This window comes from Homo sapiens, chromosome 2 (assembly GCF_000001405.40).
Source record: "Homo sapiens chromosome 2, GRCh38.p14 Primary Assembly".
Taxonomy (NCBI): Eukaryota; Metazoa; Chordata; class Mammalia; order Primates; family Hominidae; genus Homo; species Homo sapiens.
The window spans coordinates 63,792,108-63,813,545 of NC_000002.12; the positions used below are offsets into that span (position 1 = coordinate 63,792,108).

The 21,438-nt window shown below is 41.5% G+C and overlaps 1 protein-coding gene across 5 annotated transcripts in view; it reads right to left on the reverse strand.

Moving 5' to 3' along the window:
• The window catches only part of WDPCP (WD repeat containing planar cell polarity effector), a 721,268-nt gene that overhangs the window by 672,549 nt on the left and 27,281 nt on the right, over window positions 1–21,438 (reverse strand). The gene's annotated exons all lie outside the window — the stretch shown is intronic.

The following is a 21,438-nucleotide window of genomic DNA, read 5'->3' on the forward strand; positions in this document are numbered from 1 at the left end:
GTGCTGTGAATAGTGCAATGACATGTGTATTAGTCCATTTACACACTGTTATAAAGAACTACCCAAGACTGGGTAATATATAAAGAAAAGAAATTTAATTGAGTCACAGTTCCACATGGCTGGGGAGGCCTCAGGAAACTTACAATCATGGCAGAAAAGAAAGCAGTCATGTTTTACATGGCAGCAGGCGAGAGAGGGCATGTGAAGGAGGAACTGTCAAACACGTATAAAACCATCAGATCTCATGAGAACTCACTCACTATCATGAGAACAGCATGGGGGAAACTGCCCCCATGATCCAATCACCTCCCACCAGGTCGCTCCCTCGACACATGGGATTATGGGGATTACAATTTGGGATGAGATTTGGGTGGGGACACAGCCAAACCATATCAACATGTCAGCCCTGAGTGATACGGCTATACATATGAGGGGCATCTAAACCAGGAGAGACAATCCTGGAAGAGTATCCTAAAGAAAAGAGCTGATTAGGAGAAAAGAGGGATAAAAGGTGCTCCTGGCAGAGCATGAAAGAGCTTGACGCATTTGAGAAATTGCAAGTAGTCTATCAACATGGCTGGAATACAGACAGAGGACAGGGAGGTGAGTCAGAGCAGGAAGTGGAAATTAAGTAGGGGTTTCTCATCATGGCCCTTGTGGCTGGGCAAAGGAATGTAGGATCAGACCTGAGGGCTATGAGTAGCAGATGATGGGTTTTAAGCAGAGGAACAAAATGATCAGATTTGTGTTTTAGAAAAAAAAATCACTCCAAAGGCCTCATGAATAACATCATAGATTCAAATAACAGTGTAAAAAAAAAAAGGCAGAACTACCATGGTAGAAGCCTAAAAGTGTTTGACAATTCCTCCTTCCTGTGCTACTCAAGAGGTATGCTCTCCTCTTCTTAATTTTGAAATGTAAATGTCATCACAGAATAATTTCAAAGACAATAGGATAATGAAAATAAAACATTTTTAGAATAAAAAGTCTTTCAGTTTGAGCTTCTTGATTTTTTTTTTTAGAGACAGGGTCTCATTAAATTGCCCACACCAGAGTACAGTGTCTATTTGCAGGCACATTTATAGCACACTATTGCCACAAACTCCTGGGCTCAAGTGATCCTCTTGCCTCAGCCTCCTGTGTAGCTGGGACCACAGGCTGAGCTTCTTGATTCTTTTTAAGAATAAAACTATACATTTTCCAAAATGATTGAAATGAGGCTGGGCATGGTGGCTCACACCTGTAGTCACAACCCTTTGGGAAGCTGAGGTGGGAGAGCTGCTTGAGGTCAGGAGTTCAAGACCAACGTGAGCAAAATAGCAAGATCCCATCTCTATTAAAAACAGTTTTTTAATTAGCCAGGTGTAGTGGCCCATACCCGTAATCCCAACACTCTGGGAGGCCCAGGTGGGAAGACTGCTTGAGCCTAGGAGTTCAAGATTATAGTGAGCTATGATTGTGCCATTGCACCTAAGCCCGGGTGACAGAGCAAGACTCTTTTATTATTTTAATAAAATAATAAAATGAAATATCAGGATCCCTACATGTGCTCCCAAATCTATGATCTTAATAGCTATACATGCATCCCCGATAGTCACAGGTCTGACTGAAAATGACTATGAATGGAAATTAATGTGAAATGTTTATTCTTTCCGGGACCAGGGTAAACCTATGTCTACACTGAACTCTCTATAAATATTATTGACAATTTATATCAAGAAATTTAAGAAATCTCAATTTTGTAAAATACTTAGTACTTACATTGTGTGTGTGTGTGTGTGTGTGTGTGTGTGTGTGTGTGTATCATATTGCCATTTTTAGAATGCAGGCAGGAAATTTAATTTTTAAGAAGTGATTATAAAAGAACTTAAGGAAACTGAATTATAATTAAAGACAACTATTGAATCATATATACAGATAAAATATTAGGTGAAAGATGTTAGATACTGGTTGTTGAAACCTCTATTTTTCATGTGGTCAACCCGGCCATGTCATGCAAAAAAAGACATATTCCAGCCAAAGCCCCATTCTGAATTGCTCTCTTTCATGTTTGTACTTTGCCATTTCTCCTTTATTCCTTAAGGTTGGCTTCTACTTGTGTAGTAGACACTGAGGTCATCTCTTCAACATCTATTCCACCCCTCCCACAATGTACAGTAGCCATATGTTTTAAGGAATTGACCCCAGCAATGGAGACAGCCTCAGATAAGTCTGATTCAATCAAGAAAATCCTCTTTGCCTGTAACTGGTTTAGGAACCCATGCTTAAACCAAGTAGCACATGGCATTCCCTTAGAAAAAGGCTGACTGACTTAGGAACAGATATGTAACAGTATCTAGGCCAATGAGCCATGTCAAAAAGACTGCTAAAGAAAAAGTTTCCTCACTCTTAAAAAGGGATGGCATTTTTCCCCTGCTGGCATGAACAAAGCACGTAGCTGTATTTGTTACTATCATCCTATGACCACTAGGAAACCACCTTAGGATAAGCCTGATATTATCTTGGGTTCTTGATGACCTTGTTGAACTGCATTTCAGCCAAGCCCAAGGCCTATTCTACCTCTAGACTTCCAGTTGTGTGCACCACTACATTTCCTTACTGTTTAAGCCACCACTTTGAGTTGGGTTTTCGGTTACTTGCAGCTGAAAGCATTCTAAGTGATGCAATTTCCTACCACTTTTGACTACCATCTTTGCTTCCAATCAGGTGCACCATTTGGCTTTCTTAGCTCTAGTCACCAGCACTCTTCTATCTAGTCATTTATAGTAAACACTGTTTGTTTTCTACCCAATATTTATTCATAGCTTCTCCCACTAGACATTATCATGTAGGACAGGTTATATGAACCTTGTGTAGCCAAGAGAGAAGCTCACCTGAGGACAAAGTCAATATGCTGAAAATGACAACACAGAAAAGTGGAAAAAGCTCTGAGTCATTTAACTGCTGGAATACTCTACTTCCAGCCTTCTTATTATCTGATTAACAGAAATTCTCATTGTTTAATACAATTTGAGTTAGGGCATTCTGTTGTTTGTATTTGAAAATAACCTAAATGATAAAGAATTTGCTACCAGAATGTGGAATTCTGCAAATAACAACCCCAAAATTGTGGAGTTGGATGAGTGGAACAACAATGAGGATCCCACTGTTTTCACGCTGAGAGGATGGTCACTCTTGTTCTGTGGTTAATAACATTTCATTGAACTATCACTTTGTACCTGAGCACAGCCTTCTGAGATTCTAGTATTAGGGAAAATGGTAAGAATAAGAATGTTGAGCCAGGTGCAGTGGTGCACATCTATAATCCCAGCTACTTGAGAGGGTGAGGCAGGAGGATCACATGAGCCAAGGAGTTTGAATCCAACCTGGGCAACATAGTGAGACCCTGTCTCAAAAAAAAAAAGAAAGAAAGAAAGAGAGAAAGAGAAAGAGAAAGAGAGAGGGGGGAAGAAAGAAAGAAAGAAAGACAGACAGAAAGAAGGAAAGAAAGAAAGAAAAGAAAGAAAGAAAGAGAAAGAAAGAAAAACACTGGTGTGTACTGGCTATTTCTTAGGGCTTTCACTAAAAACCCATAGTAAAGAAGGAAAGAAGGTCAAGAATCCTTGGCCTTCCAAAGTGCTGGAATTACAGGCATGAGCCACTGTGCCTGGCTGGGCATCTTTAAAGATAGTATGTGTGGCAGGATAGTATGTGTGGCATGAAACTTTACTAACCATGTATGATACTACTGGCTCTCTACTACACATCCATCTCCGATTATTCCTTATTGAAAGAATCTTACTTTTGTTCAGGTACCCATTCCCTTCTATGTGTCCATGTGCATCAGGAGAGATTGGTCTCTCCAAAGAGGTAAATCCTGACTGGTCTAGACCAATCATGATTCTCCCATTCCCCTTGCAAGTAATTGTTTTAGACATGGTTGTGCTGAGCAATGAGACGTGAGAAGGCTGCTAGAAGATTTCTGGTAAAGGTTTCTCTACTTTTTAAAAAAGATACAAGAGAGTTATAGCTTCTCTCTGTGTGCTGTAATTTATCATGTCAGGTTGTGATACATGGACCTGCTGCAGCTATCAGGTGAACATGAGGAGAGCCTTATACTAAGTACGAAGCTGACATGCTAAGAAGAGGAAAACAATGGAAAGAAACAGTGTTCTTCAGACATTTAATCAAGCAGTCTCGGAGCAGGAGGAGGTAGAGCAAGATGGTCAAATAGAAGCCTCCACCAATTGTCTGCTCTGTAGGAACAACAGATTGAACAACTATCCACTTAAAAAGGCATCTTCATAAGAACCAAAAATCAGGTGAGCAATCACAGTACCTGGCTTTAACTTCATATCATTGAAAGGGGCACTGCAGAGTGTAAGACAGTCTTGAATTGCTGGTACTACCCCCTCCCCCATCCCCTGGCAGTGGCTGTGTGGCACAAAGAGATAATCTGTGTGCTTGGGAGAAGGAGGCCACAGTGACTGTGAAACATTGCAATGGAACTCAGTGCTGCCCTGTCATAGTGGAAAGCAACATGGGGCAGAAGTCAGCCAGCCCACAGAGGGAGCAGCCCCAGCCAGAGGAGAGCAGCAGTAGCCAGAGGAGAATTAACCGAGTTCTTACTACCACAGGATAAAATGCTCTGGGATCCTAAATAAACTTGAAGGCAGTCTAGGCCGCAAGGACTCCAATTCCTAGGCAAGTCCTCGTGTTGTGCTGGGCTTGGAGCCAGTGGACTTGAGGGGCACAAGATCTAGTAAGACACCAACTGGGGTGGCCAAGGGAGTGTTTGCACCACCCCTCTCCCAACCCCAGGAAGCGCAGCTTGCAGCTCCAGGAAAGATTCTTTCCTTCTGCTTGAGAAAGGGAAAGGGAAGATTAAAGAGGACTTTGTCCTGCCACTTGGATACCAGCTCAGCCACAGAAGGAAAGGGCACTAGGCAGAGTCCTGAGGCTCCATTCCAGGCCCTATCTCCTGGACATGACTGGGCCAGAAGGGAACATGCTGCCTTGAAGCGAAGAAACCAAACTTCCAGGATTCATTACCTGTTAACTAAACAGATCTTGGACTCTGAATAATCAGCAGCACTACCTAGGGAGTACTTGCCATGGGCCTTGGGTGAGACTCAGAGCTGTGCTGGCTTCAGGTGTAACCCAGAATATTCCCAGCTGCAGTTCCTACGAGGAGGACTCTTTCTGCTTGAGAAAGGGAGAGGAAAGAGTAAAGAGGACATTGTCTTGCAGCTTATGTATCAGCTCAGCCACTGTAGGACAGAGCACCAAGTGGCTCTTGGGGTTCCTGATTCTAGACCATGGCCCCTGGACGGCATTTCTGGACATACCCCAGGCCAGAGGGGAGCACACTACCCTGAAGGAAGAGTCCCAGGCCTGGCAGCATTCACCACAAACTGACCAAAGATTTTTAATCCATTCAGCCACTCTCTGTCTTTTGATTGGAGAGTTTAGTCTATTTACATTCAGTGTTTTGAGACTTGGTCTCAAAAAAATAAAGAAAAAGAAAAAAAAAGAAAAGAAAATATATATTCAGAGGAGACTAAAGAAAAAAGAATAAAGCACACCTACAAAATCTAGAAAATAGGCTCAAAAGAACAAATCTAAGCGTTACTGGCCTTGAAGAAATAGAGAGAGAGGTAGGAATAGAAGGTTTACTCAAAGGAAAAATAACAGAGACTAACCCATACCTAGAGAAAGATATCAATACCAAGTACAAGAGGTTATAGAACACCAAGCAGATTTAACCTAAGGAAGACTAGCTCAAGGCATTTAATACTCAAACTGCCAAAGGTCAGGGGCAAAGAAAGGATCCTAAAAGCATCAAGAGAAAAGAAACAAATAACATACAATGGAGCTCCAATATGTCTGGCAGAAGACTTTTCAGTGGAAACCTTACAGGCCAGGAGAGAGTGGCATGACATATTTAAAGTGCTGAAGGAAAAAAACTTTTACCCTAGAATAATATACCTGGTGAAAATATCCTTCAAACATGAAGAATAACTAAAGACTTTCCCAGAACAATAAAAGCTGAGGGATTTCATCAACACAAGCCCTGTCCTACAAGAAATGCTAAACTTCACTTAGAAAGAAAACAATGTCAATGAGTAATAAAAAATCATCTGAAGATACAAAACTCACTGGTAATTAAGTACACAGAAAAACGCAGACTATTATAACACTGTAACTGTGGTGTGTAAACTACTCTTAAGTAGAAAGACTAAACAATGAACCAATCAAAAATAACTACAACAACTTTTCAAGACATAGTATGATAAAATATAAATAGAAACAACAAAATGTTAAAAAGCAGGGGGAAGAAGTTAAGGCATAGTCTTCATTAGTTTTCTTTTTGCTTGTTTGTTGGTTTGCTTATGCAAACAGTGTTGTTATCAGCTTAAAATAATGAATTATAAGATAGTATTTTCAGGCCTCATGGTAACCTCAAGCCAAAACACATATAATGGATACACAAAAAATAAAAAACAAGAAACTAAATCATATCATGAGAGAAAAACACCTTTACTAATAGGAAGACAGGAAGGAAAGAAAAAAAGTAAAAGAAGACCACCAAACAACCAGAAAATAAATAAAAAATGGCAGTAGTAAGTCTTTACTTATTAATAATAACACTGAACGTAAATAGACTAAACTCTCCAATCAAAAGACAGAGAGTGGCTGAATGGATTAAAAATCAAGACCCAGTGATCCGTTGCCTCTAAGAAACACACTTCACCTAAAATGACACACAGAGGCTGAAAATAAAGGAATGGAACAATATATTCCATGCCAATTAAAACAAACAAACAGATTCGGAGTAGCTATACTTATATCAAACAAAATAGATTTCAAGAATTACTTATTTTGAATTTTGGTAGGTTATCAGTGTTCCTACATCTAAGATTTATTCATGATCTGAAATACTTTAAAAGTGAGCAAATGTGTGTTTCTTACCTTTGCTTAATTACCATACCTACTAAGAATGTTTCACACTTTAGAGTCTGCCAATACAACTAATAGTTTTCTGTTCCTGGAATTTTCCCTATTACGTATGTCAACTACATTTCTGAAAAGCTATGTTGTTCAAAGTGAACAGTAAAGTCCAAGAAATCTAGCCTATGAAGAAATTAGGAAGGATCACCAATATCTTGTTAGTTGTTGAATTCAGGGGGAAAAACTGAATATAAAGGAGAGTGAACCATAGAAGATAATTGGTATTCTAGAAACAGACTTAGATTTGGAAGTGACCTCAACTATTATCAACTTATAAATGAGATAACTGAAGCTTACTGAGATTCAGTGATTTGCCCAAGATCTCAGAGTTAGTGGCAGTTTTTGGAATATACCAAAGTAGCCTTGACTTCAGTCTTTCCTTAACACTAGCCCTGATGGAGACAACCACTCAATAGTAGCCTCAATGGTTTGTACCAACATCAGAGTCTTTTCTCAAGGGATATAATTCTAGGGTGATGTAGGCAAGACATCTGCAAACATTTCTGTAAAGGCTTAGATAGTAAATATTTTAGGTCTCATGGGCCACAAAAAGTCTTTGTCTCATATTCTTCTTTTTTAAATTCGTAACCCTTCACAAATATAAAAACCATTTTTAGCTTGAGTTCCTGTTAAGAAATAGGCTGAAAGGCCAGATTTATCCCCTAGGCTAGTAGTTTTTCAATACCTGTTATATGTCAGAGAGTGTTGGTCAGTAAAGTTTTCATTAGCCCAGCAAAATGAAAAAAATAAGGGCAATGTAATGAACTCAATTCGTTCAGTATAAAGGACTATCCTCTGTTCTGAAATCATGCCCTTCCTCCATTGTGGGGGATGGAGAAGCATTAAAATGTTCTCTTTTGTATGCAATTGTGATGACATAGACAGTAAGATTTTGCTTGTTCTGTTTTTTATGTTCTTCCTTGGTTAAAAAAAAGTATTGGTCTATATAACTAATTGAAAATTACACATATATTATTATTCCCTGAAATCTCAACATCTAAGAGTCTTTGTGAATATTCACTGATCCCAAATAAGGCATCTTAGGCTTTTAGAATGTATCCAAATAGGATTCACAACTGAATGGCAACATATAACTTAATTCTAAAAAAAAACCCAATGGAATTCTGGCAATTATTTCAGAACCACTGAGAAACTTTTGAGTTCCTTTTATTGTGTGATAAAATGTTACTTTGTATAGTGAGTAACGGAGCTCCGTACAGCTGCATTTCTGGTTCTTGCACAGTGGAAGTAGCCTTTCTTCAGACCTGTCTCTCCTATTATGATGTCACATAAGAAAAGTGATTGTAAATTATTTAAAGACAGAGACCATGTTTTTTCCATGTTTCTATATTCCCACAGCATCAAGCATAGTAAGGAGAGTTGTATTTTTTTCTAATTAAATAAATAAATGAACAAAATAAAACAATCAAAAGTTCAGAAGTATGTTGGAAAGATTACTGCCCATAGCAGATATGAATCTGGGGAATATAACTCCAGGGTTAAATATGTGGGTCCCCTAGGCAGAGTACTAATTTGGCATTTTTTAAAGCGATATCTAAAAAATAAATGCTCAACATTTACTTATAGGTAACACTAAGTGCTTCTTGGAAAACAGTGCACCTATTACCACATAGCAAATTACCCTAAAATTCAGCAATTTAAAATAGCAAACAGGCCAGGCATCATGGCTCACGCCTGTAATCCAAGCACTTTGGGAGGGCTGAGGTGGGAGGACTGCTTGAGCCCAGGAGTTCAAGGCCAGCCTGGGCAACAGAGAGAAACCCCATCTCTGCAAAAAACTTAAAAATTAGCCAGGCATGGTGGTGTGTGCCTGTAGTCCCAGCTACTCCGGAGGCTGAGGTGGGAGGATCACTTGAGTCCGGCAGGTCAAGGATGCAGAGAGCCGGGATTAGACCATTATACTCAGCCTGGACTACAGAGTATGCCCATGTTTTGAAATAAATAAATACATAAAAATAAAACAACAAACATTTATTCTTTAGCAATTTCTGTAGGTCAAGAATTGATGAGCATCTTAGCTGGGTGGCTGGTTCCAGCTCAGGATCTCTCATAACTTTGCAGTCAATCTGTCAGCTGGGGCAGGAATCATATGAAGGTTTGCCTCAGGTTAAAAAATACATTTCCAAGATGGCTCAAAGAAATCAGTTCCTCACCCATGTGAGCCCCTCCATAGTGCTCCTTTAGTGTCTCATGATGTGTCTGGAGTGGGTTCCTGCCAGTGGGTTCGTGGTCTCGCTGACTTCAAGAATGAAACCGTGGACCTTCACTGTGAGTGTTACAGCTCTTAAAGGTGGTAGGGAGGCAAAGAGTGAGGAGCAGCAAGATTTATCATGAAGAGCAAAAGAACAAAGCTCCCACAGCATGGAAGGTGGACCCAGCGGGTTCCTGCTGTTGGCTGGGGTGGCCAGCTTCTATTCCCTTATTTGTCCCCGCCCATGTTCCATTTCTGTCCTATCAGAATGCCCTTTTTTCACTCCTCCCTGCGATTGGCTACTTTTAGAATCCTGCTGATTGGTGCATTTTACAGAACACTGATTGGTGCGTTTTACAGAGTGCTGATTGGTGCATTTTACAAACCTCTGGTAAGACAGGAAAGTTCCTGATTGGTGCGTTTTACAATCCTCCTGCAAGACAGGAAAGTTCCCCAAGTTCCCACCCTACCCAGAAAGTCCAGCTGGCCTCACCTCTCAATGACATGGTAGCTAGCTTCCCACAAAGCAAGCGATCCAAGAGAAGGAGCAAGGAGGAAGTCACATTGTCTTTTAGGACTTAGTCTTAGAAGTCACACATTGTCACTTATGCCATATTCTATCTGTAAGTAGCAAGTCATGCAGTCCATAAAGTCAAGCAAGGGAAAGCAAGTCCATAAAGTCAAGAGGAAGGTTAGTAAGCACCACCTCTTCAAGAAAGGTTATCAAAGAATTTGTGGACACATTTTAACCACAACAAATAGCAAAGAACATGCACATTGCATCTCCTCTATTTTTTCTGAATGATTTAGCTTTAACCTCAAACTTGTATATTCTAACATCATCATTCAAAGTAGGCTGGGTATGGTGGCTCACGCCTGTAGTCCCAGCACTTTGGAAGGCCAACGTGGGCAGATCACTTGCATCCAGGAGTTTGAGACCAGCCTGGGCAACATTATGATACCCTCTCTCTTAAAAAAAAAAAAAAAAAAAAAAAAAAAAAAAAAAAAAAAAGATTTATTATTCTCAGCATGCCCTATGGGAAGGAGGTCCCACTCACCAGCCTCAAGTAGTTTACCAAAATATTTCTTTTAACCCATAGATACCAAACACCATTTACACTATTTTCTCCATATAACAATATTTCCAGTGATATTTCAGTCTCATGATAAGGTTTACAGATGCCACAAGGTATAGTACTGTCCTAAAGAACTACCTTGCTGGATTTTTTCTAGCTGTGACTGAAAGTAAAAAAATTGTGAAGAATTTTGGACTGAATTTCTTAAAGGAACATTTCCTACAGATGATGATTTTTTTAATTGCATAGAATTCACAACATCTCACCTAAGAATTTTGCTGCATTGTACCTAGTCTGGCAAATGAATTAGGAAATTGTCTATATTATTGTTAGTCTATATAGTACAGCTTTAAAAAAAAAGACACATAGAGATGTATTATGTTTCTTCCAGCTAAAAGAGAAACAGCAAGAGTTCTGAAGAATTCTAATTCTTAGATTTCTTTAGGACATTTTAAACTGATTATTAGAAGTAGGCTTGGGACATTACTCTACACATATAGCTTGGGGCATTACTCAAACTCTACCCATCTGAAACACTGCACCTGTTCAAGGAGTGAACCCTTTTTACATTGTAATAACACAAAAAGTTCAAGGTTTTCATTTTGTAGTGAGCTCCTTTATAGCATTTCTAGAGACCCTGACATTTCACAGGCCCAAACAAGCTATATATGGAGTAACACAGACACCTCATATAGGTGATCAGAGGAACACATGCCTGCCCACCAGCATTTGTTTTCAATCTATAGGTATTTATCATGAATAATAATTAAGCTGTTATGAAACTGAGTCATGAGATTTCAGACATTTTCACTTTGACATTCATACTCTGGCAGAGATACCAACCCTAAAGACAGACAATGCTGTTAAGTATGACCTGTGTATTTTAAACATACAAGGAAAAATCGATTTTAATACTGAAAAAAAATTTGGTTATTGGATTTATTTCTTGCAATAAATATATGGAATACCCACTAAAACTGGTATGGTATTTCTTTTTGGGAGAATTTGTATAATATAAACCAGAAAAGTACCATCTTATCATATTATATTGTTAAATAATATGGAACTAGCATATTCCAAATGTAGAAAATTTTGGCTCTCTACCTAAGTAACTTTGAGTAATGAGTTACATAATTGGCCAGCATTTACCATCTGCTGTAACCCTTACCTCTTTATTTTTCTGGCTTTTTGGGGTACTTTTTAATGGCTGTTAATATAGGAATTATATAAAAATATAGAAAGCTATTAAATATTACATTTATTCATTGTTTCATTATTTTTACAAAACAGACACACAAAAAATATGTTATTTCCTATTAACTTACCTATTTATTATTACTAAGGAGGCTACAACTAGGGCTGGCTCTCCTCAATTTCACTCACCATGTATGAACCTCAGTGTTCTACTACATGTAAGGCATTTTCAGATATGTTTTGGGAATTTAAGTTACAGAACATGAATACACATAATTTCAGTGTTTAGTTTTAGATATGTACTTAACATTACTGACAATTAAATGCCATGCTTTTATATTTAGTTTCACATTGTTCTTTCAATTATCTATTTCCATATTTCTTCTATTACCAGAAAACTACATGTGATAGACTGAGAAAAATTGGCATTGAATTGAAATAGTTGCCTCTAGGGGGGAATTTTCATTTAAAACCAGGTTCATCCTAGATGATACTTCACTTGGTAATGGGCTTGTGACTATGAAATTTTATCAGGCTGAATTATTCCCTTCGTATCTAGAGCAGGGGTGGCATCACACTTTACCCAGTACATTAAGGAGAAGTGTTTTTCTCAGTTCCTTTCCTAGGCTTTTTGAAGCATAGAAATGCCCTGAAGAACAAACCAGATACTCCTTTTTTTTTTTTTTTTTGAGGCAGAGTCTCGCTCTGTCGCCCAGGCTGGAGTGCAGTGGCACCATCTCGGCTTCACTGCAAGCTGCGCCTCCCGGGTTCACGCCATTCTCCTGCCTCAGCCTCCCGAGTAGCTGGGACTACAGGCACCTGCCACCACACCCGGCTAATTTTTTTTTGTAGTTTTTAGTAGAGACTGGGTTTCACCGTGTTACCCAGGATGGTCTGGATCTCCTGACCTCGTGATCCACCAGCCTCGGCCTCCCAAAGTGCTGGGATTACAGGTGTGAGTCACCTCGCCCGACCCAAGCCAGACACTTATCCTAACTCTATGTGTCCTTCTCCTTGCTGCAAGGTGGCCAGATCCCACCTTTGCAAGATAATGTTGGTGAACGACTAGAATAACTTAGAAGGACTCAAGATCTCTCTTCCTACAACTCCCTCTCCCTCAGGCCTATCTCCTGATGGTCTAGATTTGTCATATAAAGCGTCCATGTTGGGCCGGGCACGGTGGCTCACGCCTCTAATACCAGCACTTTGGGAGGCCGAGGCGAGCAGATCACAAGGTTAAGAGCTCGAGACCAGCCTGGCCAACATGGTGAAACCCCGTCTCTACTAAAAATATAAAAATTAGCCTGGCTTGGTGGTGGGTGCCTGTAATTCCAGCTACTCGGGAGGCTGAGGCAGGATAATCGCTTGAAACTGGAAGGCAGAGGTTGCAGTGAGCCGAGATGGCACCCCTGTACTCCAGCCTGGATGAAAGAGTGAAACTCCATTTCAAAAAAAGAAAAGAAAAGAAAAGAAAGAGTCCATGCCAGGGTGTCTCTGGCGGAAGATAGGAGCAAAACAAAAGCTACCCATTTCATGTCAAATTTTTGAAGTTTTATTCTCCCTTATAGAAAGAAAAGCGTCAGGGACAATTTACAATTTAAATCAAGAAGTAGATGTACTTTTGATAAGCATATTGCTTTCTACTGGGTTTTGAACCCATATGCTCAGTGAGTGTACCCACCCACTTAATCTCATTTAAGATCATGGAATTTCAGAACTGGAAGGAATCTAGGAAATTAGAGGTCAAAATGTCACTTTTAATATTGATAAAACTGTTTGTGGAATGAGGGTTAGGGCTGAGAGCTAAATGAGCTAGCTAATATTTCCTAACATACTCTGCCCTATCCCACTCATACTCTGTCCCCAAATCAGACCCCAGAACAGAAATTGAAACTGACTCAGTTTGGTTCAGAACTGAACATTTATGTGCTTATATGATTTTTTTGATAGATTCACTCCACCCAATTATGATCTGCAGATTAATGGCTGTCAGCCACCAACCAGGTGGAATAAGAGGTCAGAGTGCTACTACTCTGGGGAAGTCCCTCCACATGAAAACAGAAGAGTAGGGATAAGCACACCATCTCCTAACATTAGGAGGGGCAATGCCATAGGAATTCTGATGAATAAAATCCTCCATTTCATTTCAAAATAATTTGAGAGCAGTATAACAGGAATGTACCACAAATTATTAATACAGAACTTAGTATGATTTTGATGTTTGTCCCCTCCAAATCTCATGTTAAAATGTAATCCCTGGCTGGGTGCAGTGGCTCATACCTGTAATCCCAGCATTTTGAAAGGCTGAGGCAAGCAAATTGCTTGTGTCCAGGCATTTGAGACCAGCCGGGGCAACATGGCAAAACCCCATCTCTACAAAAATTACAAAAATTAGCCAGGCGTGGTGGTGAGCACCTGTAGTCCCAGGGCAGCCTGAGGTGAGAGAATCACTTGCACCCAGGAGGCGTAGGTTGCAGTGATTCAGGATTGCGCCACTGCACTCCAGCCTGGGTGACAGAGTGAGAGCCTGTCTCAAAAAAAGAGAAAACGAAAAGGAAAAGAAATGTAATCTATCAGGGAACCTGCCCTGATATTCACGTAGGTTCTTTTCTATTTTTCCTAAGCGTCGGCCAGCTTGAGAAATAAAGGGACAGAGTACAAAAGAGAGAAATTTTAAAGCCAGGCGTCCGGGGGGGACATCACATGTCGGTAGGTTCCGTGATGCCCCACAAGCCACAAAAACCAGCAAGTTTTTATTAGGGAGTTTCAGAAGGGGAGGGAGTGTGCGAATAGGTGTGGGTCACAGGCATCAAGTACTTTACAAGGTAATAGAATATCACAAGGCAAGTGGAGGCAGGGCGAGATCACAAGACCACAGGACTGAGGCAAAAGTAAAATTGCTAATGAAGTTTCGGGCACCATTGTCATTGATAACATCTTATCAGGAGACAGGGTTTTGAGATCAACCGGTCTGACCAAAATTTATTAGGCGGTAATTTCCTCTTCCTAATAAGCCTGGGAGCGCTATGGGAGACGAGTCTATCTGACCTCTGCAGTCTCGACCATAAAAAATGACCACGCCCCGGGGAGGGGGTCAGTTCAGAGACCCACCCCGAGGTGCGCATTCTCTTTCTCAGGGATGTTCCATGCTGAGAAAAAGAGTTCGGCGATATTTCTCCCATTTGCTTTTGAAAGAAGAGAAATATGGCTCTGTTCCGCCCGGCTCACTGGTGGTCAGAGTTTAAGGTTATCTCTCTTATTCCCTGAACAATTGCTGTTATCCTATTCTTTTTTCAAGGTGCCCACATTTCATATTGCTCAAACACACATGCTGTACAATTTGTGCAGTTAATGCAATTATTACAGGGTCCTGAGGCAATATACATCCTCCTCAGCTGACAGGATTAAGAGATTAAAGTAAAGACAGGCATAGGAAATCACAAGGGTATTGATTGGGGAAGTGATAAGTGTCCATGAAATCTGTACAATTTATGTTTAGAGATTGCAGTAAAGACAGGCATAAGAAATTACAAAAGTATTAATTTGGGGAACTAATAAATGTCCATGAAATCTTCACAATCTATGTTCTTCTGCCATGGCTTCAGCTGGTCCCTCCGTCTGGGGTCCCTGACTTCCCGCAACAGTAATCCCCATTATTGGAGGAGGGGGTCTAGAGGAAGGTGTTGGACCATAAGAGGGGATCCCTCATGAATGGCTTAGCGCCATTCTTGAGATAATGAGTGAGTTCCAGCTCTGAATTCACAAGAGATCTGGTTTTTTAAAAGAGTGTGACACCTCCCCATCTCTCTCTATTGCTCCCACTCTTGCCATGTGATGTGCCTGCTCCCTCTTTGCCTTACACCATGATTGGAAGCTTCTGGCCCTTACCAGAAGCAGATACTGGCACCACGCTTCTTATATATCCTGCAGAACCATGAGCCAATCACACGTCTTTTCTTCATAAATTACCCAGCCTCAGGTATTTCTTTATGGCAATGCAAGTGGAATAACATAAAACTCTATTCTTAATAAATAAATATAAAACACTTTTACTAATCTCTCACAAACATATTAGCAAAAAAGTTAATAAATTTAAAATCACTATAAGTATGTTTTCCTCTTTCAAAATCTTATCACAACAATTTGTCTCACTTCTCAAATTGTGAATAATTTTAGCAATAAACTTATTTTGAAGGAAGGAATACTAAATACAAGACTGTTCTGTATGAAAGAACTTGAAGATTAAAACTGAGTTTTGCTTGCAATTTAATTCTAATTTATAGTATTTTTAAAACCAAAAATTAAATTTGAGGAAGTGACATTATACTAGGTTGCTGAAGTTTACAAGTATCTTATGGAAGCCATCTGTCAGAAAACAATCAAACCAACAAAGGCAATAACAGATTCATATGATAGATATTCAATGTACTTACTGAATTATTACAAAGAGTGACTACATAAAATCTGGAGAAATTGAGCTCTTATCTCTGAACATTAAGACCTTTAATTCACTCAGGGCTCATCATTTCAAGAAAATAACTGAGGCCACAAGGCTGTAAGTTTATATGTTATGGTGTGTAATAGAAATGCTATTTAGGACAGGAATTTACTGAAATTAAACTGGCAGGAGACTGAAAAATTATTTAAGTTGCTCAAATTATAAAACATAGAGAACATTTTATCTGTTTCCTTAAAATTAATTCCTTCGCTCCCTCTCCCTCTCCCTCTCCCCTCTCCCTCTCCCCTCTCCCCTCTCCCCTCTCCCCACGGTCTCCCTCTCCCTCTCTTTCCACGGTCTCCCTCTGATGCCGAGCCGAAGCTGGACTGTACTGCTGCCATCTCGGCTCACTGCAGCCTCCCTGCCTGATTCTCCTGCCTCAGCCTGCCGAATGCCTGCGATTGCGGGCACGCGCTGCCACGCCTGACTGGTTTTCGTGTTTTTTTGGTGGAGACGGGGTTTCGCTGTGTTGGCCGGGCTGGTCTCCAGCTCCTAACCGCCAGTGATCCACCAGCCTCGGCCTCCCGAGGTGCCGGGATTGCAGACGGAGTCTCGTTCACTTAGTGCTCAATGGTGCCCAGGCTGGAGTGCAGTGGCGTGATCTCGGCTCGCTACAACCTCCACCTCCCAGCCGCCTGCCTTGGCCTCCCAAAGTGCCGAGATTGCAGCCTCTGCCTGGCCGCCACCCCGTTTGGGAAGTGAGGAGCGTCTCTGCCTGGCCGCCCATCGTCTGGGACATGAGGAGCCCCTCTGCCTGGCTGCCCAGTCTGGAAAGTGAGGAGCGTCTCTGCCCGGCCGCCATCCCATCTAGGAAATGAGGAGCGCCTCTTCCCGGCCGCCATCCCATCTAGGAAGTGAGGAGTGTCTCTGCCCGGCCTCCCATCATCTGAGATGTGGGGAGCGCCTCTGCCCTGCCGCCCCGTCTGGGATGTGAGGAGCACCTCTACCCGGCCGGGACCCCGTCTGGGAGGTGAGGAGCGTCTCTGACCGGCCGCCCCGTCTGAGAAGTGAGGAGTCCCTCCGCCCGGCAGCCGCCCTGTCTGGGAAGTGAGGAGCCCCTCCGCCCGGCAGCCACCCCGTCTGGGAAGTGAGGAGCGTCTCCGCCCGGCAGCCGCCCCGCCCGGGAGGTGAGGGGCGCCTCTGCCCGGCTGCCCCTACTAGGAAGTGAGGAGCCCCTCTGCCCAGCCAGCCGCCCCATCCGGGAGGGAGGTGGGGGTTCAGCCCCCCGCCCAGCCAGCCGCCCCGTCCGGGAGGTGAGGGGCGCCTCTGCCCAGCCGCCCCTACTGGGAAGTGAGGAGCCCCTCTGCCCAGCCACCACCCCGTCTGGGAGGTGTGCCCAACAGCTCATTGAGAACGGGCCATGATGACAATGGCGGTTTTGTGGAATACAAAGGGGGGAAAGGTGGGGAAAAGATTGAGAAATCGGATGGTTGCCGTGTCTGTGTAGAAAGAAGTAGACATGGGAGACTTTTCATTTTGTTCTGTACCAAGAAAAATTCTTCTGCCTTGGGATCCTGTTGATCTGTGACCTTACCCCCAACCCTGTGCTCTCTGAAACATGTGCTGTGTCCACTCAGGGTTAAATGGATTAAGGGCGGTGCAAGATGTGCTTTGTTAAACAGATGCTTGAAGGCAGCATGCTCGTTAAGAGTCATCACCACTCCCTAATCTCAAGGACCCAGGGACACAAACACTGCGGAAGGCCGCAGGGTCCTCTGCCTAGGAAAACCAGAGACCTTTGTTCACTTGTTTATCTGCTGACCTTCCCTCCACTGTTGTCGTATGACCCTGCCAAATCCCCCTCTGTGAGAAACACCCAAGAATGATCAATAAAAAATAAATAAATAAATAAAATTAAATTAAAAAAAAAATTAATTCCTTCATGATAAATATTTTTTCCTTAAATGAAATTTTTCATTGTATACCTTATTTAGACTGTAGTCAGAATCCACACTACTCTACAACATTTGGCTAATCTATTTAGTGTAGACAAAAAGTAATTCAAAAAATAAGCAATATACAAAGAGCACCTAAAGACCTGGTGAACTGCAAACAGAAGTTGGTTTTATACTTCACTGGGCATCCTAATTAGAGGTTCTATATTGCTTTGTTCTGCCCTCTTCTATTTTCCTCTGGATGATCTTGTCCACTCCATGACTTCAAATACCATCTTTTATGTTGACTACTTTCAAATATATACTCCAGCTATCACCTCTGTCCTGCTGTGTTGACCTGTATTTATCTTTGTGATAGGACAACCTCTTCAAGTTTTCTAAAAAGATACAGGCATATAAAAAGTTATAAAAGTGTTATAGGTACTAGTATCAGTTCATACAAGGTTCTGTGAGTTTACAAAATAAGAAGACAGGAAAAGCTTCCTAGAGGAAATAATACTTCAGTAGATGTCTAGAGGAAGGAGTGACAGAAAGGGAGACAGATGACAGGCATTGGAGGGAAAAAGAACAGTGGGAGTCAAGTTTCTGAACCAGGAAGCAAGCTATAAAAGAATTCCCTAAAATCTGGGCCTTATAGTACAAGGTGGGGGTAACCAGAAACCAGGCAAGTACCAAATCAGGGAAGGTCTCACATGTTATACTTGGGAATTCAAATTTATTCCATATTTTTTATACCTATTATGTAGCAATAGGGAAGCAAGCATTAAAGGGCTTTTTAAGCAAAGGAGAAACAGGATCAAATTTGGATATAATGTACGGAAAAGCTTTTCTATTTTAATCCCTATTGCTTTATAAACAATATGGACTAAATTTGTTGTGCTGAGCCCTGAAGCAATTTGACTGTACATGTTTGTGAGTGGAAGCCTAGAAAAGCTGGACTGATGTGCTTTCCAGAGGGAGAAGGAATTTCCTAGGACAATTGTAAGAAAATAGGAGACAAGTGAGAAAAACCAGCAAAATTGCCAAAGGCAGAGGACTCCTATGTCTTCTATAAAATACTAACTCATAAACACTTTGAGTGGTTGTTTTTTTGGTTTGTTTGTTGGCAGAAACCAGGCTTCACTTCAAGATCAGTCCCAGAGATAGTACTCATGAAGCGGAACCCAAGGACAGAGAAGACTGTGAAAATGTTGTGACAAACACACTATAAGGTGGCTCCCCATGATCTTTGCCTCTTGGTGTTCACATCTCTGCTATTCATACCTCTCTGAGTGTGGGCAGGACCTTTAACTTGTTTATAACTAATAAAATACGGCAAAGGTGATGGGATGTCACTCCCATAATTACATTGCTCGGTCTTGCTCACAGACTCACTCTAGAGACTTTCCTCACTGGTCTGATGAAGTAAGCAGCCAAGTTGGAAAAGGCCACATGTAAGTAGCCTCTAGGAACTACAGGTGGTCTCTAGGTGCTAAGGGCATCCTCCAGCCAATAGCCAGAAAGAAGCTGGGGCTCTCAGCCTTACCAACACAAGGAAATGAAGTTTGCCAACAACCTGAGTGAACTTGGAAGCAGATTATTTCCCAGTCAAGTTGCCAAATGAGAACAGAGCCCTGTCCACACTTTTTTTTTTTTTTTTCAAATTTTATTTTAGAGTCAGGGAGTACATGTGCAGGTATGTTACCTGGGTATATTGCTTGATGCTGAGGTTTGGGGTATGAAAGACCTTGTCACTCGGGTACTGAGCATAGTACCCAATAGGCAGTTTTCCATTCCTTGTACCCTATTCTCCCTCCCCATTTTGGAGTCCCCAGTGTCTACTGTTTTCATCTTTGTGTTCATGTGTACCCACTGTTTAGCTCCCACTTACAAGTAAGAACATACAGTATTTGGTTTTCTTTTTGTTTTTGAGACAGGGTCGCACTCTATCACCCTGGCTGGAGTAGAGTGGCATAATCAAGGCTCACTGCAGCCTCAACCTCTCTGGGCTCAGGTGATCCTCCCACCTCAGTCTCCTGAGTAGCTGGAACTACAGGCGTATACCACCATGCCCAGCTAATTGTATTTTTTTTTGTAGAGACGGGGTTTTGTCATGTTGCGCAAGCTGGTCTCGAACTCCTGGGCTCAAATGATCCTCCTGCCTCGGCATCCCAAAGTGTTGGGATTACAGGCATGAGCCACCATGCCTGGCTGGTATTTGGTTGTCTGTTCCTGTGTTAATTTGCTTAGGATAATGGCCTCCAGCTCCAACCATGTTGCTGCAAGGGACATGATTTTGTTCTTTTTTTATGGCACCGTTCTATTGTGTATATATACCACATTTTCTTTATCCAGCCAGCCATTGCTGGGCACCTAGATTGATTCCATGTCTTTGCTATTATGAATAGTGCTGTGATGAACAGGTAAGGCTGTGTCTTTTTGGTAGAATGATTTGTTTTCCTTTAAATATATACCCACTAACGGCATTGCTGGGTCATATGATGGTTCTGTTTTAAGTTATTTGAGAAATCTCCAGACTGCTTTCCACAGTAGCTGAACTAATTTACATTCCCACCAACAGTGTATAAGCATTCCCTTTTCTCCACAGCCTCACCAACATCTGTTGGTTTTTTTCAATTTTTTAATAATAGCCATTCTGCCTGTCCACACTTTGCAGCCTCGTGAGACCTTAAGCAGAAGACCCAGCTAAACTGTGCCTGTGACTCCTGACCCACAGAAACTGTGGAATAATCAATGGGTGTTGTTTCAAACCTCTCTAAATTTGTGGTAATTTGTTACATGGCAATAGAAAACTAATACAAATATTTGCTCCCGCTACTGTACCCCATCCCTCAAGTTTACAGATATTCCATAATCTATGTCCCCCATCTAACTTCTGGGTCACGTAAGTTTTAGAAAAAAAATCACTTTATTTTTTTTTTTTTAGACAGAGTCTCACTCTGGTGCCCAAGCTGGAGTGCAGTGGTTCAGTCTAGGCTCAACTGATCCTCCCACATCAGCCTCCTGAGTAGCTGGGACTACAGGCACATAACACCACACTCAGCTAATTTAAAAAAAAAAATTGTAGATATGAGGTCTCACTACGTTGCCCAGGTTGGTCTTGTACTGCTGGGCTCAAGTGATCCTCCCACCTTAGCCTCCCAAAGTGCTGGGATTACAGGCATGAGCCACCATGCTCAGCCAAAAATCACTTGGCAGTTTAAGAGAGAATGGATTCAAAAGGCAGGAAATAATGGCAATAGCCCAGGTGAGAAATGGTGAAGGCCTAAACCAGAAAAATAGCAGTGCCATTTACCAAGTTAGGAAATAAAGGAGAAGCACAGGTTTCAGGAGAAGTATTAATATACCGAGTATATTTGGGACATAATAATTTGAAGTGTCCATAGGTCCTCCAGGTGAAGATGTCTACTAAGCTTCAGTACTAACTTTGCAAGATGCTAGTTCTGATCTGGAAAAACTCATATTTCTCTGGTCACAACCTGACAGCAAGCTGCCCTTTCAGTCCTCATCATGTGTTCTACACTTCATGGAGCTACTTGGTGATCCACAAACAGGACATGCCTATGCACAAGT